We start from the raw sequence: 20772 nt of genomic DNA, 5'->3' as shown, positions 1-20772 counted from the left end.
CCTTTCAAATGGAGCTGCACTGTTCAGACCTATCTTAGAGAAGTCTGTTCCATGAAGACAGAGAGCACTAGTCTTGTTGCTATAGGCCAAAGAGAGGGGCACTTGGACAAAGTACTAGTGGAGAGGGTCAAGAGAACAACTTACTTAATCCCTAAATTTGGCATGGAGTCACTGAACATGAACAAAGGACACTAGTAGAGCCAACCACGAATGAGGAAAACAATGCTGAGGAACTGGGAGAAGGTTGTAGTATCTCAATAGCAGCAGGGATAGTTGGGTAAGGATCAAGATCCAAGGCCAGGGTCATTTGAGAAACATCTGAATAGAATCCTACTCCACCATGTTCTAGGTAATGCTAATAATTCATCATCGTCATGGGCACTAAATCATTAAAAGATGAGGCCGTTGCCCTAGTTGAAAGCACAATGAGCCACTATTTCTTGCCACCTCAGCATCCTAAGGTCTAGTGCTACCATTTCTTCAGTGCAGAACTACTTTCCAAAAACACTGAGAATGCAGACATGAGATGGATAAAGCCTGAGTTGATGGCTTTGACTTGTCCACATCCTTTAGGAAATCTCTCACTGCCCAGAGGTGTTTATTTTATCCTGGCTGCTTGTCATTGTAACGGATGGTCTGGTGCTGCTTGCCAAGTACCTCTGGCATAGGTTGAGAAGATCATACCAAGAACACGCTGGTGTGCCACATGTCTTCTTCAGGGTATCAGATTTGCAGAGATAGCAGAAAGCAAGAAAAAGGTTGGAATGAGGGTGTACAAGGAAGATATGAAGGGGAGAGGAGCTACCACATAGCAGTCCCAGGATAATCACTTTTGTAGTATACTGAGGCAGAGATATGATCAATTCTCTACTCACTGGGATTCAATAAAAACAACAGATCCATTTAACTTATGCACAGCCTTATAGGCATGAGGATAAGAAGAAAGCTGCTCTCCTATTTCTTTGTTGGAATGACAAAAACCAACAAACACCACAGTGATATATGTCATAAAATGGGCTTTAATGTTCCCTCTTACAACATGGTATTACTGCTTACACTGGAACTGGCACACAGCTCCCAAGGTTGGTTTACTCTGAGGAATGAAGCTGGTATCCCCCCTGGCTGCAGTGCAGCTGGAGCGGTCCCAGGCACTGAGCTCAGTATAAACTTTGGAGTCTAAATACCCACATCTCCTGTAGTTCACCAACTTTGCAGTTCTGGAACCGGCAGTGCAGATTCTGTGTATGCCAAGTAAACCAGACACTGTTCTGCCTCTTTGTACTAACTGCTCTCCAACCACCCCCTACTCTGCCTCCAGTATTACTCTGCTTTGTGAGATACTAAGGAATGGTCTGCCTCTGCAGGGCCTAAATCTCCCATACTTGCGGTTTGAATCCTCTGTTCTGTTTTGTATTTGCTTTAAATATCTTGGAAGTGTGACCCACGCTAACATGACTTGCCCTGTCCAGGCAACTCTTGGAATTCACATCTCCCACGTTTCTTCCTAGCTGATGGCTCCCTACTACGCCCACCACAGTAGGGTGATTCCAAAGAACTGCATTTAGGAGTGAAGACAGGAGTCTGTCTTCCTTCTATACCCAGTCAGTCCTTGTCTCGATCACTTTATCTCTTTAACATGCACATCTGCATGTACATAGAGCTCTGGAAGGATCATCTTATCTGAAGGCTATGGAAACATTTTCTGATTCATGGAATTATCCCTTTCATTGAGTGATGTTCAAACTGTAGACTGGTCTCTGCCTTCCCAGATGTCTTCCCGTTGCTTGGCTTCCAACCGCTTTCTCTCTGTAAATAAGAGCAGTATTAACCACAGTTGTCTACTTCATATAACCAATGACTTTCCCTTAATCCAAATTACAAGGCAAACTTTAGTCATGAGACAAGTGGATATCCTGGTCTCTCTTACCTGATAACAAGAGTTAATTCCTTTAATTTCCTAAGTGCTTTGTAAGTGAAAATGATACTACTGTAAGTCATTACATTTACTACTATATAATAAAAAATATCTGAGGCTAATAGAAGTATATGGAATAAGTCAGAATCTAGTAGGGACTCAGATTCTAGTCTTGCTAATACATATTTAAATTCTACTTTTCAACTATGTTTAGTGCTTCAACACAATTGCCCATTATTCTCAGCTTACTGATCTTTACAAATATTTCAATAAGTATCAAGGATATGTATTGATATTCTTCTATTTTGTTGCTTAAATGGAAATGGTAGCCCCTGGGCTTTACTCATATCTCCTCTCTAAAACTTTATTGAAAAAATATTTCAGAGGCAAACCACATTTCAATATTTTCAGAGCACTTCCAGGAGCCAGAAATCTTCTGGAATATACAATTACAATATGGAAAACTAAAACTATTTCTAAAAACAAAAAATATACAAATCTGGATAATTCATCTTCAATTTTTAATATAGAAGCTTGGTTCTCCATAACACTTTCACCAAGGTCTGAGAAAATATGGACCATACAACAGTCTGGTGACCCAAGCGCTCCTTTAGGTGCCACAATACCAGTTCCAATTGCATGGCTAGTCATTTATCTTGACACCATAAAATGGGGATAAGCCTACATCATAGATGGTAAGCCTAAATGCTTCCTTCTTACTGTTCCAAATTGATAATGCCTGTATAAGGTTTAGCAAGTCATGAACCAGGGAGATTACAGAAATCGAGATGAATTCAGAATAAACACTTGCTATTCTGATATATCTTTCCTCATCAGCAGAATCCCTTACAACATTCCTATACTGTATTTGACTGTACTTTAAGGGCAAAGAAGTTAGTTATGAAGCTGACTGGCACTTGGAAATGTGAGAAAAAGAAATTCACTGCTATTTGGGCACCATCTTGTGGCATTATCTGAATATAGCAGCAAAGTTACAAGAGGCAAAAAACAGTGGTCTGCAAATTGCAAAATGAAGGCTGGTAGAGAATGCCCTGGAACTGAGGCAGGCCTTGAACTGCACTGGGGTTCTCTAGGAGACAGCACAAAGGATAACTGGTTTGTCTAATGGATTCCAGAATTTCTTAGGAAGGCAGCATGGTCTTGATTCTTACAAACATGGAGAAGTTAGGAGGAGATCTAAAGGCAATGGATGAAAGCAATCAAAATCTGGTTCTACATCCCAAGGAAAAATGAAGAAACCAGAAAAGTAAATTATTAGAACTCCAATTTTTCAATAAGGTGTGAAACTTAAATCTTTAAGAGTAATATGAGAAGAGATTCGAGAGCAGTAGAAAAATATAACAGGCCCATAACACACAATTCCAAAATCAAAACAATTCTGAAAACAAAGTTATTGCTTTCTTTAAAGCTTGGGGCCAAAATTAATCGATGGAGGCAAATCTAACTTGAAAGGATACGAAGCTATTTATAGTCTTTACATATCCCATTTAGTGTGAACAGTCACACACTCTGCTGCAGAAATATTAATGTGTCTGATTTTGGCGTTATAAGACAGATACCATATTACCTTTCTAAAATCTGGAAAGTTCAGAATTCTGAACCTTTTTTTTTGGAGATGGAGTCTCGCTCTGTCACCCAGGGTGGAGTGCAGTGGTGTGATCTTGGCTTACTGCAACCTCCGCCTCCCAGGTTCAAGCAATTCTCATGCCTCAGTCTCCTGAGTAGCTCTTGAGTAACAGGCACATGCCACCATGCCTGGCTAATTTTTTTGTATATGTAGTAGAGACAGAGTTTCGCCATGCTAGCCAGAATGGTCTTGAACTCCTGAGCTCAGGTAATCTGCCCACCTCGGCCTCCCAAAGTGCTGGGATGACAGGCGTGAGCCACTGTGCCCGGCCTGAAACATTTCCTAACACTTTCTAATAAAAGTAAATAGATTCTAATGGTAAGCCATATGAAAAAACTAGTAAGAGTAGGAAGACAAATTGAGAAGCACAAAGAAATAGTGAAAATGTGAGGTGTAAATTTAGAAATACAAGAACATGAATAGAATAGAGAAATGTAGGTCAGGATAGGAAATAATAATTTCTTTATTTTAAAGATGAGGAAACAGAAGCTCAGAGAGCTGAAATGACTTGCCTAAGGTTACACAGCCAGTGAAAGAACTGAATCTGGGACCCAGATCCTTAATTCTTCACCAGCACACTTTCTACTATCCTGACATCTGAAAATATCTACAAGGGAAAAAAATATGAAAAAAATTGTATAAACAGAAAGACAAAGAAACATGTCCCTTTATTAAAGAGAAAGGAAAGCAGATAATAGCTGATAAACTGCATGAAACAAAGCTCCTACTAACTTGACCTCCAACAATTAAAAGAATAAAGAGAAAGCCCAACAGTAGACACAAGGGCAAGGAATTAAGAAAAAATAGAAAATTCAGCACAAAATGATTGACCTAAAACATTCACATTGGCTGGCCCTGAAAACTTTCATTCTCCAATATAATAAATCAATCAACAGAAATGACTATATTAAATGAGTTGCCTGCAATCACGGTGCAGTCAAGACTTTACATAAGAGAATGTAAAGCGTTGAAGATTGTAAAAGGGCCAGTTTGGTGTCATGTTTTAAAAAAAGCAGAGAGAGGATGTAAATTAAAGACTTTCAAAATTTATTCTAGATCTATGAAAAATAATCACAAAATCTACTGTAGTCACATACAGAACAATAGACAACATGCTTTGTGAAGAACGCGTCTGGTCAAACGAATCTTATTCCCTTCTTTTAGAGTGACGGACATAGTAGATCAAGGAGAAGTAATCTAAATAACCTCTTAATTTTAGCAAAGTTTTAGATTTTAAGTTTACTAAATATTTATATGATCATAATATATGGAAAAATACAGTCTGAATCCCATAAGGGGGCATTTAACTCTAGAGAGTAGAATAATTATCAATGTATTAAGTGTTAACACAAGGAACCATGTACTATTTATTTTAGCAACAGCTGGTGACCTGGTCAGTTAGTTAGTCCTAGTTAACATTTTCATCTCTGATCTAGGCAAAGGTATTAGGTTTATTAAACAGCAATTGACACCAAAAAATGAGTAAACGCTACATCACAGAAAAAAAGTCACATTAAAATGAAAAAAAAAAAAAAATGTGGTTAGAAATGAACTTCAGACATCAGGGGAGAAAAAACGCCAAGAAAATACCCTAAGACCTAGATTATGAATCAGCAATGCCACACTGCCCTTTAAGGCAGAATAATGGAAAGTCTAAAGAAGGTTTTCAGAAGGTATGAACTGTGATTAAATTTATTACTATCTTATAGAGATGGTTTGAAGTTCTTTGTGATTTAATTAATCAAACTAGGTGAGCGGGCTACTGTTTACTTACTTTGCCTTTCAGGCTTGTGACCCAAAAGATGGCCTTTCAGAACCAGCCAATTAATCACCTACCTTCAAGAATAAAATGAAAATAAATTAAAATAAAATTGTAGCAGGCTTTGAAAATGAGAAGATAGCTTATTCTGAGAGGTAACGATATCTAAGTCCAGTTTTAGGTGGGAATCAAATATCTGGATGAGTGGAACATGGGAAAATTTTATATACATTCCTGAGTTTGGTCTTTATTTTGTTTTTTATTTTTTTGAGATGGAGTCTTGCTCAGTTGCCCAGGCTGGAGTATGGTGGTGCAATCTCGGCTCACCGCAACCTCCGCCTCTCAGGTTCAAGCGATTCTCCTGCCTCAGCCTGCTGAGTAGCTGGGACTACAGGTGCGCGCCACCATGCCCGGCTAATTTTTCTATTTTTAGTAGAGACAGGGTTTCACCATGTTGGCCAGGCTGGACTCAAACACCTGACCTCAGATGATCCGCCCACTTTGGCATCCCAAAATGCTGGGATTACAGGAGTGAGCCACCATGCCTGGCCCTGAGTTTGGTCTTTAAAATGTGGTTTTAGGCTGGGCACAGTGGCTCAGGTCTGTAACTCCAGCACTTTAGGAGGCCAAGGCAGGAGATCACTTGAGTCCAAGAGTTTGAGACTAGCCTAGGCAACACAGAGAGACCCCATCACTACTAAAAGGAAAAAATTAGCCAGCATGGTGGCACATGCCTGTAGTCCCAGCTACTCAGGAGGCTGAGGTGGAAGGATTCCTTATGCCTGGGACGTTGAGGCTGCAGAGAGCTGTGATCGTGCCACTGCACTCCAGCCTGGGTGACAAAGTGAGACCCTGTCTCAATAAATAAATAAATAATCAAAGTAGAGTGAAAAATATAGCAGAAAAGTACTTAAAACTCAAAATCACAAATTCAAAATTCTTAATTAGGAAGGTTTCACATTCTGGGTTTTATAAAGAAAAACATGGAGGACTTAGCATTCAGAGTAGAGTCAAGATTTACAAAGAAAAATTAGAGTAACCAATGTCATCCATGTATTTGGTCAATGAACATGTACTGAGTATCTTTTTATGTACCAGGCACTGTTGCTAGACAGCAGAAGTCTTCAAGCGGGAGAAAGAAAGGCTGGGAGATTATTATACCATATTATAACAGGATGATATATAGATTTCAATTCCCATGCTAATTCTGATAAATTGGCAATGGTCATGTCAAAACTCACCAAGAAAGAATGTCATGACTGATTTAACAATATCTGCCACTTGTAATGGATGGAGAGTAGCAGTATATAATACGTATTTGTCATTACAAGCTCATATTATAATGAACATTAAATTCTTAACAGTCATATCAATAATCATATCCTGAATTTGTAAAGCACTTTTCCAAACATTTTTACATATGTTAACTTATTCTGTGCTCAAAAAATTCTCCATGATTAGGTAGGCTGAGGAGTACTTTCGCTTTGCTGGAAACCAGGGGGCACAGAGAAGTATAACTGACTTGCCCATGGCCACGCAGCTAGTTAATGGCAAAAGCTCTATTAGAGCCCAGATTTCCTCATTTCTAAACAATCTGCCCCTAATCTTTAGCGTTAAAGTTGTTAGAACAAAATAGTATGCAGATATTCTCTATTTCTACTAAGGAAAAAACAAGAGGACACTGGTTTAAACTATCATGCAGATTTAAGTTAGACCTAAGGAAGATTTTTCTGACAGTGAAAAGCTGCTAACCATTGGTACAGATAACAAAGAAGCTTGTCATATTTTGTTCCTGGAGACTTTAAAAAATGTTTTATGTAAGTTTTTTTTTCTGGGAGAAAATGTCAATAACTGCAAAAGTCCTTTAAGGGGGATTACAGTATTACAGAAGAAGCATGGGTTTTAATCAGCGGTACCTAGATTCAGATGCCTTCTCTTTCAGTTTACCAGCTGGGTGACCTTAGGCCAGTTTAACTTCTCTGGGTCAGCTCTAAACTCAAGATGGTATCACTGGTCACAGAGTTATCATAATGCAATATCATCATAACCTGTAAGTTATGATGGAGTTTCCTTCCTGTCCTTTTAATCAACAAAAACCATTTATGGTTTTTAATCTTAAAATCTTCAGAACTGAAGTGAGAGGAAAAACAACTGCTTAAAATACCTAAAAGAGGAACATATTTTCTTCCCTACTCAAGGCAGATTATCTTCACTAGACTGTAAGGCTTAAGGAGAGGAACAAAATCTTGCCATCTTTCTAATTCTCCTAAACAGGGAACACAGTGCTCTGCACAGGGCAGGTGCTCAGTGAATGCCAAATGGAGCTAACAGATGATTACAGGAATTTTAAAATAAAAAGAGTAATGACAAAAATATGCACTGAAATCTGTGCTGGATTCACCATATAATGATATTTCTATTATTACTAACAAAAACAACAGCAGCTAACACTTACCATATAACTCATTATAGGCCTATAGAAACAGGAGCAAGAGAGTACCTATGGTTTTTTGAAGATGACTAAGTATCCTTCATGGATTAACTTGCTTGAGCTCTGTTTAAGGATGAGAAAACAGGCCTCCAGAAAGTAAGTAAGTTACTTACCTACCCTCTCAAGGTCACACAGACAGTAAATGGCAGACCTAAGATGTGGACCCAGGAAGTGAGATTCCAGAGTCTAATACCTAAAACAGTAAAGTTTCCACTGAAAAAAAATATTTAAAGCCTGGGCTCCATGCAGGCAAGCATATAAGTATCTGCCCAACACAGAAAGATGCCAGAAAGAAATACATCAGGAAATCTTCCAGATGCATTTCCTCAGATATAAAGAATGGTAGCACGCTGGAGCATAATAAAGAGTCCTCATAATCCATACAGCCTCAGCACCAATAGGTAGGAGAAACTTATCACAGTGGGTCTCTATTCACAAATAAAGGCCTTCTTTAGAAAAGCAATAGAGTACCCGCTTAGTCAACAGAATCATTTTTAATTGCATCACTGAAATGTCCTTTGCATAGCCAGACATTTAAAACAAATACTTCAAGTGGAGCTGCATGCTGATGCACCTAGAGAAAGAAAAGGGAATACTCAAGATGATATCCACGCAAAACCACTGCTGCAGGATCTGTAGAGATACAGGTGATATACACCCACAGAGAAGCATGATAACATGGCAAAGGGAGTCATATCCCCTTTTATAGATATCACTGTTATCACACAGAAATCATTTTCTTCAGAGACAACCAATTAACAAAGGGTTAAGGACACTGTACATTCATCTTTAATCTAGTTCTGTTATTGCCATCTATAAAAACCCAAGGAATCCGGTTATGTTTCTATAGTCTGTAGGAGGCCTTTGAGTAAACAATGATTGGAAAACATGGAAACTGCCTCATTATAATCATTAAAGTTTCAAAAATTAGTTGGGTTCAACTCTGAAACTCTAGCACCTGCCATGACACACTCTGTCACTGGTTATCTGGCCAGTGCAGCTGGGAGTCCGCAAGCTGCCTGCTATCACTAAAGCAGAGAGGACAGGACGTATTAATGGCCTTGTTAGACCAGCAATAAACAAGGAGTTTGAAACTTCAATTCGTTTAATGGAAAAATGAAGTTACTTTTCGGTAAGTGGAATTTTCAGAATAAATTGCCTTCACAGATTCCAGGAATTGTGGGCTAAGGCAATGAGACTGTCTAAAGCCTGAAGGTTGATAAAAAGTACTTAAGTGCCACACCAGAGTCCCAAGCCTTTACATACAATTCAACAGCCTGTAGAGGAGAGAGAGATTTTAACTTCAGCTCCAAACTATAAGAAAGAAAAACTCTGCTTGTGGATCAGGGGAAATATTTTTCTGAGAACTCTTGGATACTGGAAAATAATCAGAAGACAGGTAAATCTAGATGTACTCTAATGGAGCCACTCAGGACTGTCTTAAAAAGACAAAAATACCTCCTACAGTTGTTATCATCAACGTCAGTTGCTGGCTTTTCCTAAATTTGTCTTCTACCTCAGATCTAAACCATTTGATAACATTAGGGCAATATCATGGCAATCGTGGCCCAGTAAAACCATAGCAAATGTTTTCTCCCTAGGACACTATCTGTTTTCACAGGAAAATTTTTCTCATAGAAAAACTGTAGGAAAAGCCATGGATGAGCTGAGAAGACCAAACCTATCTCTTGGAAAACAACAGTAGGAGCGTGGATTAGAATGTCTTGGTGCGTGAAACAGGCAGACAATCCTGAAACATCTTCTCCTGGACGTAAGGCATGAAAATTTCTATACACTTAGGAGGCTTCTAGGAAACAGAAACGACAAAAATGGAATGGGCTTCATTCATTTTTTTTTAAACACATGCCTTACAGTGAGTTCTGAAGGGCCTAGAGAAGAACACCACCCTTTCAGCTCACCTCTGGCTTCTTGCAGTTTCTTGAGCTCTGCTTCTCGTTCGGTTTTGCTCTGCTTACTTCGAACCCCAAGGGCACTGATGACTAACCTTCTGGCTAGGGCTGCTGAAGTCTCAGGACGCTCCTTTGCTGGCTGGAGGAACTCTGAATCGAAGAAAGGAAGGGAGTAGGAAGGAGTCAAGAAGAGAGAGCACTCTAGCTTCAAGTGATTTAACTCAGTAATTAACATACAAAATAGACTAACAAGGGCTGCATCAGCAGTAATTAATACAAGTCTGATAGATGATGATCAGAGGAAATTAACATGGCAAAGCACAAACAACCCTGGCTTCATTATCTGCATTAACAAAGTATCTTACAGTGACTCTATCAGGCAGCTAAACACAGAGGTAAACTAGGTAGGGATGTCATCAGAAACTGATTGCTGCATTGCCTGCAGTTAGTTCTCACACACTCCAAGTGGCTGCTCAGATGCCATATTTCCAACATGGTCATTTCCCTTTTATTTATTTTTTCTTAAAAACATATTTCTTTTAACACTAAAAATAAAAGTGATATGTCTTTAGATGTCTGGATGCTATAAAACTTCTGGAAAGAACAATAATACCACCATCAGCAAGAAAAAAACCCAGAGATTATAGACTCACCAGCATAAGCTCTAGCTTTGGCCTTGGCTGCTCTTGTGGCCTGTGACAAGGGACGAATCTTCACCATGGTGTGTTTAATACCCAACGCATCACGAGCTGCAAAGAGGAATAAAAGGAAGCAGAAGACATGAAGTAGAGTGATGCAAAGGAAAAACTAGGGATAGCTCTTAGTATTTCCTAGATGTTATGCTTTTTTTTCAAAGCAAGCAAAAGAGACAGATCTAAAGATCAACGTGGCAGTAATTATTTTAGATCAGGTATCAGCAAACTATGGCTCCATGACCAAATCCAGCCAACCACCTGTTTTTATATTTATTTACAAAGTAATTTTATTATTTTACTGAAGCAGAGCCATGCCCATTTGGTTTGTATATTGTCTATGGCTGCTTTCTTGCTCCAACAGCAGAGTTAAGTAGTGACAGAGACCTGATGCTCCACAAAGCCTAAAATATTGTATTTACTGTTTGGTCCTTTATAGAATAATTTTGCAGATCCATATTCTAGGTGGTTCAGATAGGAACTAACGTTTCAATATCTCTATTTTCTTTGAATGCCTCTGCATCAGATCTATCATGAGGCCAATGGTATATGTAAGAAGGCCCAATCATATATTCAGAGGGTATGTATTATAATTTCTCACTAGACAGGTTAAAGGGCTAATTAAATTCACTTGTCTAGGATGGAAAAAAAAAATCACCAATATTTTAAGAGCCCCATTGGATTCTTCAATCTCTACCTTAATCTGTTTACGTACTATCATGACAGACAGTTATGTGTACAAATAACCTTGGAAGGTGTTGACTCTATCTCTCCAAATACCACTGGACTAAGGTGAAAGGTGAGAATGGGTACCAAAGTACCTTACCTCAAAAAAACCACTAACTGCCCTATTACCTACACTGGCTGAATAAGATGCCAACTTGCTCAAATAGAAGGGAAATAGAAAAAGTAGCATGAGAAAATGAACAATAAGAAAGGAAGATTGAAAGCCACTGGGTGAATACCTGTAATTGGACTGGAGAATACTCCTAGGGCATGTGTATCATCCACCCATTTAATATCAAATCCTTTCTTTCTGCAACACAAAAAAACAATTTTATTTCCTAAAATAAAATTTACTTTTATGAAACATCTCACAAATAGAATCTCATAAAGCATTTCACAAGATAGAAACACTCAACGAGTGCACAGGTGGAATGGGGATAATGACACAGAAAACAGTTTGGAGGACAGAAGAAGCCATTGAATTTTAAAAGCAATAATACCATCATAAACAAGTACCCAGGAGTATTTTACGTTCTCAGCCATTTTATAGACATCAACTAATTAATCCTCACAAGTCCCTTGGGGATGTAAAGTATTTAATGCACTATTTACAAGAGATGTTCTTATGGGCAGGGAATGAGAAGAAATGGAAAGAGGAAGCAGAGGAGGGGTAGAATATAAGAGGAGTAGGTAGGCAGGGAAGGTCACCTGGATTTAATGCAAATGTAAACTCTGTCCTTGAGGACAGAGACAGAAAGAGAAGAGAATGGGGTAGGGGAGATTATACTGAAGATGTTATTCAATTTTTTTAAAAAAGTCAAGTAACGGGGAAAAAAGGGGGCAACTATAATCAGAGAGGCTGATCTATTCTTCACTTGTTGCAGAAGGGAGGTTAAAAAAATAAGAAAAAATTAGAAAGAATTATGTGGCAAAGTCAGAAAAATTAAGGATGAAAGGAATCATGATAAGAGAAATATCAGACCAGATTAGAAAGCATCAAAAGAATGAACATTTAAGTACTAGAAAAACACTTTTATTTTGGAGAACAACTACCTAGTGAGCACAAGGAATGTCAGGATGATGACATAACAGTTATATTTTTCAGCTAAGAGCTTAAAAATGCTCATGGACTCAGGGTTCTGCCACCTTGAGACCCTGGGCAAGTTTAACCTCTCTTGAAGCTAGGTCGGCTCCTCTGTAAAAATGAAGAAAGTATGTTCCCCACAGAGTTGTTGTGAAAATGGAAATGAGATCATCCATGACAAGGCAAAGAAGATGGTGTTGAGCACTTCATGGGCATCTAATAAATTAATGGTGTTCATTACTTTTATTATTAATAGCAATGTTCATCAATATTAATATTTTCATTTTTATAAATCACAGATGGGTTCTAGAGGGCCTTTTATACTTCAAAATTTCATAATCCTTTAAAATTTTTCTCTTTGGGGAATGTTTTTGAATTTGATAGAAACATGGTCCTGCAGGTGAGATTATCAAGAAACAAAGCAAAGGGAAGTAAATAGTTTGTAAGAGTTAATTGATCTTCAAGAAATTCTAGACATCAACAAAATGATCCTTAGTTTTAAGAATCATCATTATTTATGACAGTCTAAGGTAGTTCTAACAGGATTTGATCCCTCTGACTGCTTTTAAAAAATCTATTATGAATTTTATGTTGAACAGGTTCTGATACTAGATTTTAACCTAATTCTAGTAAGTAAGACTGACCTACACACTATACATTTAAAGTTTATGGCAGAGATTAACTGTCATCCAGGATCCATTCACCCTTTCTTTCTGTTAGTTATAGAACTGATGCTCCCCACCGAATTAAGTTTAACTGATTAAACAAGTACATGGCTGCTAGTTTTGCCTGTTCTAGAACTTCATATGAAAACAGAACACTTCTTTTTATAAATAAAGTTTTAGTTTACAGCCATGCTCATTTATGTATTGTTTTTGCTTGCTTCTGTTTAACAATGGCAGAGTTGTCTAAAATATTTACTTATCCTTTAAGAAAAAGTTAAGGGCTATACCCTGACTTATATAGAATCTTACACATTCAAGGTGAATTTTAAATTTAAATTTGTTATATCACACTACAGACCTGGTTCATTTTAAATATCAGGACTGAAACATTAAAGTATAATTCTTCTTGATACTGACTTTCTTCCAGACCCTGAAAATCTTCTTAATAACTTTCTTTCTGGATTATCATCTCTTTATTCCTGAAGCTTATTTTTTTCTTATAAGCTAAATATACAAAGGTATCTACTTCTAACTCTTTTAACTTCTCCTATATAAGTATCAGCTATACACATACCAAGGGTTAGTGCAAGTGTTCTCAAACCCACATATATCAGTGTGAGTTGATATTTTCACCATGGAATTAAATAAAATTAAACCAATGAAACAGGAGCAGAGCGTAAAAAAGAAGAGTTATTTTGTCTATAAAAACTTAGTTGAGGCCAGGCGTGGTAACTCACACTTGTAATCCCAGCACTTTGGGAGGCTGAAGTAGGCGGATGGCTTAAGTGCAGGAGTTTGAGACTAACCTGGGCAACATGGTGAAACCCTGTCTCTACAAAAAAATACAAAAATTAGCCAGGCATGGTGACACACACCTGTGGTCCCAGCTACTTGGGAGGCTAAGCTGGGAGGATTGCTTGAGCCCAGGAAGTCGAGGCTGCAGTGACCCCAAAAGAAGGCAAGAAAGAAAAAGATAGGACAAATAAACACATAAAGATGGCAGGCAATCTGACAATACATCCAAATATATCAACAATTACAATATGTATTAATGGACTAAATGCACCATGAAGTCATCACTGATGACAGTCTTCTTAAATGCTAAAATGGGGGCTAGAAAGGCTACCTGACATTTTTAAGGAACTTAGAACAGTAGTTTAATATAGAAAATTTCTACTGGACCTGGAAAAGACAATAAACCAGCCTGATGCTAAAATATGAAAAACGGGATATAAAAAACAAGAGATGATTTCTCAGAAAACATTTTTTAAAGACTTCATCTCACCCTCCCTAACATCCACAATCATTTGCATACTCACTGATAACTGCAGAAAACCCGTAGAAGGTCTTCAGTATGAAATTCTTGGGGAAAGTCATAAATTTCAATGACATGTGGGAATTCACAATCACTGAGGTCAATATCAGGAACTTCATGATTGTAGTAATCAGATCTAGGTTCCTGGATGCTCTCTCTGCTCTTGGTATTCCCTGATAACTAGAAAGGAAGAAGCACGTTAAGTGCCGGTTACATTAAACCTGGTTATTGTAAAATATATTCCTATATATAAACAATCCTCCTCCCTTTCTCTACATGTTCCCATTCCTCAACCTTTGGCATAGTCTCTGTATTAATTCTACTCACAGATACAATAATGATCAGGTGCTTATCGCCCAGTTTATACTATACATATGGAACTGTTGAAAAAGTGTTGAAATTCCAGCAGACAGGCAATGCATGAAACTCAACTTGCATCTCTAACCAGCACACGAGAAAACACAGACTGAATACTGTTGTGAGTTATAAATGGCACATCTTGGAAAATGAAGCTTAGATAATAGCTGAAGAGATTAATTAATAATATTTGTTTTAATTGAGCTTACTGACCAGGCTCATAGTTTCTTTTCTGGAAGTGAACAAAAATGAAAAAAAGTTTTTAAATAAAATTCAAAAAAACTTTTTTACTTCACTTTTTGTTGAATGTATTAAAGGGTGAGGAGACAGCTTACAAAGGCATTTGTTAAGACAAATTAAGTGGTACAAGTAGTTATACTTAATGTCCTTAGCATGAGACCTACCTTAAGGAATGTGCATATAGCAGGCTAGTGAAGGAATTAATAAAAGAGGTAACAAATTAAAATTCTACCGTCCTATAAAAAAAGCTGAACTTCACACTGGAAGCAAAAGAAACAAAACGGGAAAGTGGAAAGCGGCAGCAAAGCCATGACAGTCATTCTGTCATTCACCTGTTATAAAACCTAGACACTGTTTGCGTAGAGGGAAATTTATAGCACTAAATGCCCATAAGAGAAAGCAGGAAAGATCTAAAATTGACACCCTAACATCACAATTAAAAGAACTAGAGAAGCAAGAACAAACACATTCAAAAGCTAGCAGAAGGCAAGAAATAACTAAGATCAGAGCAGAACTGAAGGAGACAGAGACACAAAAAACCCTTCAAAAAAATCAATGAATCCAGGAGCTGGTTTTCTGAAAAGATCAACAAAATTGATAGACCACTAGCAAGATTAACAAAGAAGAGAGAAGAATCAAATAGACGCAAAAAAAATGATAAAGGGGATATCACCACCGATCCCACAGAAATACAAACTACCATCAGAGAATACTATAAACACCTCTACGCAAATAAACTGGAAAATCTAGAAGAAATGGATAAATTCCTCGACACATACACTCTCCCAAGACTAAACCAGGAAGAAGTTGAATCTCTGAATAGACCAATAACAGGATCTGAAATTGAGGCAATAATTAATAGCTTACCAACCAAAAAAAGTCCAGGACCAGACGGATTCACAGCTGAATTCTACCAGAGGTACAAGGAGGAGCTGATACCATTCCTTCTGAAACTATTCCAATCAATAGAAAAAGAGGGAATCCTCCATAACTCATTTTATGAGGCCAGCATCATCCTGATACCAAAGCCTGGCAGAGACACAACAAAAAAAGAGAATTTCAGACCAATATCCCTGATGAACATTGATGCAAAAATCCTCAATAAAATACTGGCAAACCGAATGCAGCAGCACATCAAAAAGCTTATCCACCATGATCAAGTTGGCTTCATCCCTGGGATGCAAGGCTGATTCAACATACGCAAATCAATAAATGTAATCCAGCATATAAACAGAACCAACAACAAAAACTACATGATTATCTCAATAGATGCAGAAAAGGTCTTTGACAAAATTCAACAACCCTTCATGCTAAAAACTCTCAATAAATTAGGTATTGATGGGACGTATCTCAAAATAATAAGAGCCATTTATGACAAACCCACAGCCAATATCATACTGAATGGGCAAAAACTGGAAGCATTCCCTTTGAAAACTGGCACAAGACAGGGATGCCCTCTCTCACCACTCCCATTCAACATAGTGTTGGAAGTTCTGGCTAGGGCAATCAGGCAGGAGAAAGAAATAAAGGGTAATCAATTAGGAAAAGAGGAAGTCAAATTGTCCCTGTTTGCAGATGACATGATTGTATATCTAGAAAACCCCACTGTCTCAGCCCAAAATCTCCTTAAGTTGACAGGCAACTTCAGCAAATCTCAGGATACAAAATCAATGTGCAAAAATCACAAGCATTCCTACACACCAATAACAGACAAACAGCCAAATCATGAGTGAATTCCCATTCACAACTGCTTCAAAGAGAATAAAATACCCAGGAACCCAACTTACAAGGGATGTGAAGGACCTCTTCAAGGACAACTACAAACCACTGCTTGATGAAATAAAAGAGGATACAAACAAATGGAAGAACATTCCATGCTCATGGGTAGGAAGAATCAATATCGTGAAAATGGCCATACTGCCCAAGGTAATTTATAGATTCAATGCCATCCCCATCAAGCTACCAATGACTTTCTTCACAGAACTGGAAAAAAACTACTTTAAAGTTCATATGGAACCAAAAAAGAGCCTGCATTGCCAAGTCAATCCTAAGCCAAAAGAACAAAGCTGGAGGCATCACACTACCTGACTTCAAACTATACTACAAGGCTACAGTAACCAAAACAGCATGGTACTGGTACCAAAACAGAGATACAGGCCAATGGAACAGAACAGAGGCCTCAGAAATAATACCACACATCTACAACTATCTGATCTTTGACAAACCTGACAAAAACAAGAAATGGGGAAAGGATTCCCTATTTAACAAATGGTGCTGGGAAAACTGGCTGGCCATATGTAGAAAGCTGAAACTGGATCTCTTCCTTACACCTTATACAAAAATTAATTCAAGATGGATTAAAGACTTAAATGTTAGACCTAAAACCATAAAAACCCTAGAAGAAAACCTAGGCAATACCACTCAGGACACAGGCATGGGCAAGGACTTCATGTCTAAAACACCAAAAGCAATGGCAACAAAAGCCAAAATTGACAAATGAGATCTAATTAAACTAAAGATCTTCTGCACAGCAAAAGAAACTACCATCAGAGTGAACAGGCAACCTACAGAATGGGAGAAAATTTTTGCAATCTACTCATCTGACAAAGATGAGTAATATCTTTATCCACAAAGAACTGAAACAAATTTACAAGAAAAAAACAAAAACCCCATCAACAAGTGGGCGAAGGATATGAACAGATGCTTCTCAAAAGAAGACATTTATGCAGCCAAAAGACACATGAAAAAATGCTCATCATCACTGGTCATCAGAGAAATGCAAATCAAAACCACAATGAGATACCATCTCACACCAGTTAGAATGGCAATCATTAAAAAGTCAGGAAACGGCAGGTGCTGGAGAGGATGTGGAGAAACAGGAACACTTTTACACTGTTGGTGGGACTATAAACTGGTTCAACCATTGTGGAAGACAGTGTGGCAATTCCTCAGGGATCTAGAACTAGAAATACCATTTTGACCCAGCCATCCCATTACTGGGTATATACCCAAAGGATTATAAATCATGCTGCTATAAAGACACATGCACACATATGTTTGTTGCGGCTCTTTTCACAATAGGAAAGACTCGGAACCAACCCAAATGTCCAATAATGATAGACTGGATTAAGAAAATGTGGCACATATACACCATGGAATACTATGCAGCCATAAAAAAGGATGAGTTCATGTCCTTTGTAGGGACATGGTTGAAGCTGGAAACCATCATTCTCAGCAAACTATCGCAAGGACAAAAAACCAAACATCACATGTTCTCACTCATAGGTGGGAATTGGACAATGAGAACACTTGGACACAGGAAGGGGGACATCACACACTGGGGCCTGTTGTGGGGTGGGGGAAGGGGGGAGGGATAGCATTAGGAGATATACCTAATGTAAATGACGAGTTAATGGGTGCAGCACACCAACATGGCACCTGTATACATATGTAACAAACCTGCACGTTGTGCACATGTACCCTAGAACTTAAAGTATAATTAAAAAAAAAAAAAAAAACACACACTGCTGATGACCCAAAGCCACCAGATCCTTAGATAATATTTTTCTCTCTCTCTCTCTCTCTGTTAATCAAAAGTTCACCCAGGTCCCTTCAAGCTTTCTCTGGTTTTAATACTGTGTCTCTTTTCCCATCAAATGAGGAAAATAAGAACTTGCAATGCCAGGAATATATATCTCCTTTCCTTGGAAAAGTTGAAAAATGGATTCAAGAGTTTTATTGGGAGAAGGAGGAAGGTGATTTGGATAATATCAATAAAAATTATTATTTATTCCTGTGCCTCCAGTTCCTTTTCTCTACTAAGCCTCAGTTTTACATGTAAAACATGGGAATAATAACAGTACCTATACTTCATAGATAAGTGCATGGACTAAAGGAGATGATATGGTAAGTGCTTAGCATACTGCTTGGCACATAAGTATTCAGTAAAGTAAACCCACTTTAAAAGAATTTTAACCAAGTGCTAAGTCTGTTACATGCCAAACACCATATTAGTTCCACTCTGCTTAGGATGTAGAAAGCAGAAGAGAATGTTCTTCCCACTGTAACAAGAGAAAAGACCAGCTGATCTATAAAATCATAACTTTTCTTGAGTTTACCAGAGAGCTGAGTTTGTAAGATAACAAGGGAAACTGCTTATCTTAAAATCCATACAATGACAAGTCTCTCCCAAAGAGAAACAGAATACATAAACTGTTTTGCCTTTGGCAGACCACTGGAAGAAGTGATCACCACATAAGTGGGCAAGAAGATATCAGTTAAACTTTAATAAATTCTTAAACGTCTAGAGTAGATTAGTGTTAACAGTTTGGAATAACTCAGAGGCCAGGGACAAAAGGAGTCTGCAATAACTTGCAAGTCAATCCTTATGCCAGTGCCACACTGTTTTGGTTACTGTAGCTTTATAGTACTCTTTGAAATCAAGAAGCTTACTAGAAAGCCTGAGTCCTCCAACTTTGTTCTTTTCAAAATCACTTTTGATTATTTAGGGCACTTTGCATTTCCAGAGAATTTGAGGATCTGCTTGTCAATTTCTGCAAAAAATTTTCTGCCAACCAGGCAGCTGGGATTGCACTGAATATGTAAATCAACTTAGGAAATATCTGAACAATATTAAGTTCTCCAGTAGATAAACATGGGATGTCTTTCCATTTCTCTAAGTCCTTAATTTCCTCCAACAATGTTTTATAGTTTTCAGAGTATAAGTTTTATACCTCTTTTGTTAAATGTATTCCTAAATGTTTTATTCTTTTTGAGGTTATTGTAAAATTGTTTTCTTCATTTTCTGCATTGACTTTGAGTTACTTTGCAAAACCCAAACAAAACAAGGAACTGCATGTTTGTACATTCATAAATTGGGGCTAAATAATACACTGTCAAAGATACAATGCAAATCACAAAATATCTTAGAAATATAAATCCTGAGAAATGTTACAGGCCAGGCATGGTGGCACAGACCTGTAATCCCAGCACTTTGGGAGGCCCAGGCAGGCAAACTGCTTGAGTTCAAGACCAGCCTGGGCAACATGGCAAAACCCTGCCTCTACAAAAAATACAAAACATTAGCCGGGCATGGAGGCACACACCTGTAATCCCAGCTACTCAGGGTGGGAGTGCTGAGGCCGGAGGATAGCTTGAGTCCGGGAGGTCGAGGCTGCAGTGAGCCAAGACTGTGCCACTACACTCCAACCTGGGTTACCGAGCCAAGACTTTGTACCAAAAAAAAAAGTTACAAAAAGGAAGGAAATGACAGGATAGTCTGGCAAGAAAATTTGATTATGCTCCTTTGCTCTAATCTAGTCAGCAAAGCTAAACTTGTATACTTATATCTCATTTCCGAGGTACCTATTAAACATCTGGCTTCTGACACTGATTAAAAACAGTGTTAATAATAGCAAAAAACATAATTCTTGTTCTACATTTCATGAAACAAACAAAGGCTACGAGTTACATACTTCTGATCAGTTCTTCCTGTATCACTCAGAATCCACAATCATCAGAGATTCCTAACTTTTCCTAGAGGAGGAAGAACTTCATTTCCCCCAGGGTACTGATATTGTTGAGATCAACTTACATTTCCCCAGTAACACATTTTTTTTTGTGGAGATAGGATATCATACTGTTAATGGAACTTTCTTTCCTAAGAATCTCAGCAAAACATGCAAGAGAACTTGACAGAAAGAAGGAGAGGATTTGTGGCATAAAAGGGAGAAAGTGTCAAAGAGAGGATAACATGGGATGAAGATGGAAGTGAGGCAAAGAAAGGCTGTGAAGAGGGATGGGGAGGTAGGACCACTGACACAGAGTGATGAGACATGGCAGTATGGGAAGCTTTAAGAAAAAGCTCTACAATCTGATGTACTGATTATGTACTTTGGCAGTAGGCCTGAACTGTCCAATACAGTAGCTGCCTGTCACATGTGGCTATGTAATAAGTAAAATGTGGCTAGG

General features: G+C 38.1%; 1 protein-coding gene across 44 annotated transcripts in view; it reads right to left on the bottom strand.

Moving 5' to 3' along the window:
* Positions 1-999: 999 nt before the first annotated feature.
* Positions 1000-20772, bottom strand: part of R3HCC1L (R3H domain and coiled-coil containing 1 like) — a 110241-nt gene continuing 90468 nt past the window's right edge. For 42 of the 44 annotated variants that reach the window (XM_047425072.1, XM_047425065.1, XM_047425071.1 and 39 more), the window contains 5 exons: positions 14210-14385; positions 11381-11451; positions 10377-10472; positions 9733-9873; positions 1000-1806 (listed from right to left, as the gene is read on the bottom strand). In XM_047425072.1, the coding sequence (XP_047281028.1) occupies positions 1739-1806; positions 9733-9873; positions 10377-10472; positions 11381-11451; positions 14210-14385 (552 nt within the window). In that variant the 3' untranslated portion in view covers positions 1000-1738. Of the gene's footprint in view, positions 1807-9732; positions 9874-10376; positions 10473-11380; positions 11452-14209; positions 14386-15790; positions 15832-20772 lie in introns of those variants that run through there. The other 2 variants (XR_007061959.1, XM_047425085.1) reach the window with 2 other exon arrangements.

This window comes from Homo sapiens, chromosome 10 (genome assembly GCF_000001405.40).
Source record: "Homo sapiens chromosome 10, GRCh38.p14 Primary Assembly".
Taxonomy (NCBI): Eukaryota; Metazoa; Chordata; class Mammalia; order Primates; family Hominidae; genus Homo; species Homo sapiens.
The sequence above is the reverse complement of the archived record's forward strand: the minus strand, read 5'-3'. Positions and strand labels throughout refer to the sequence as shown.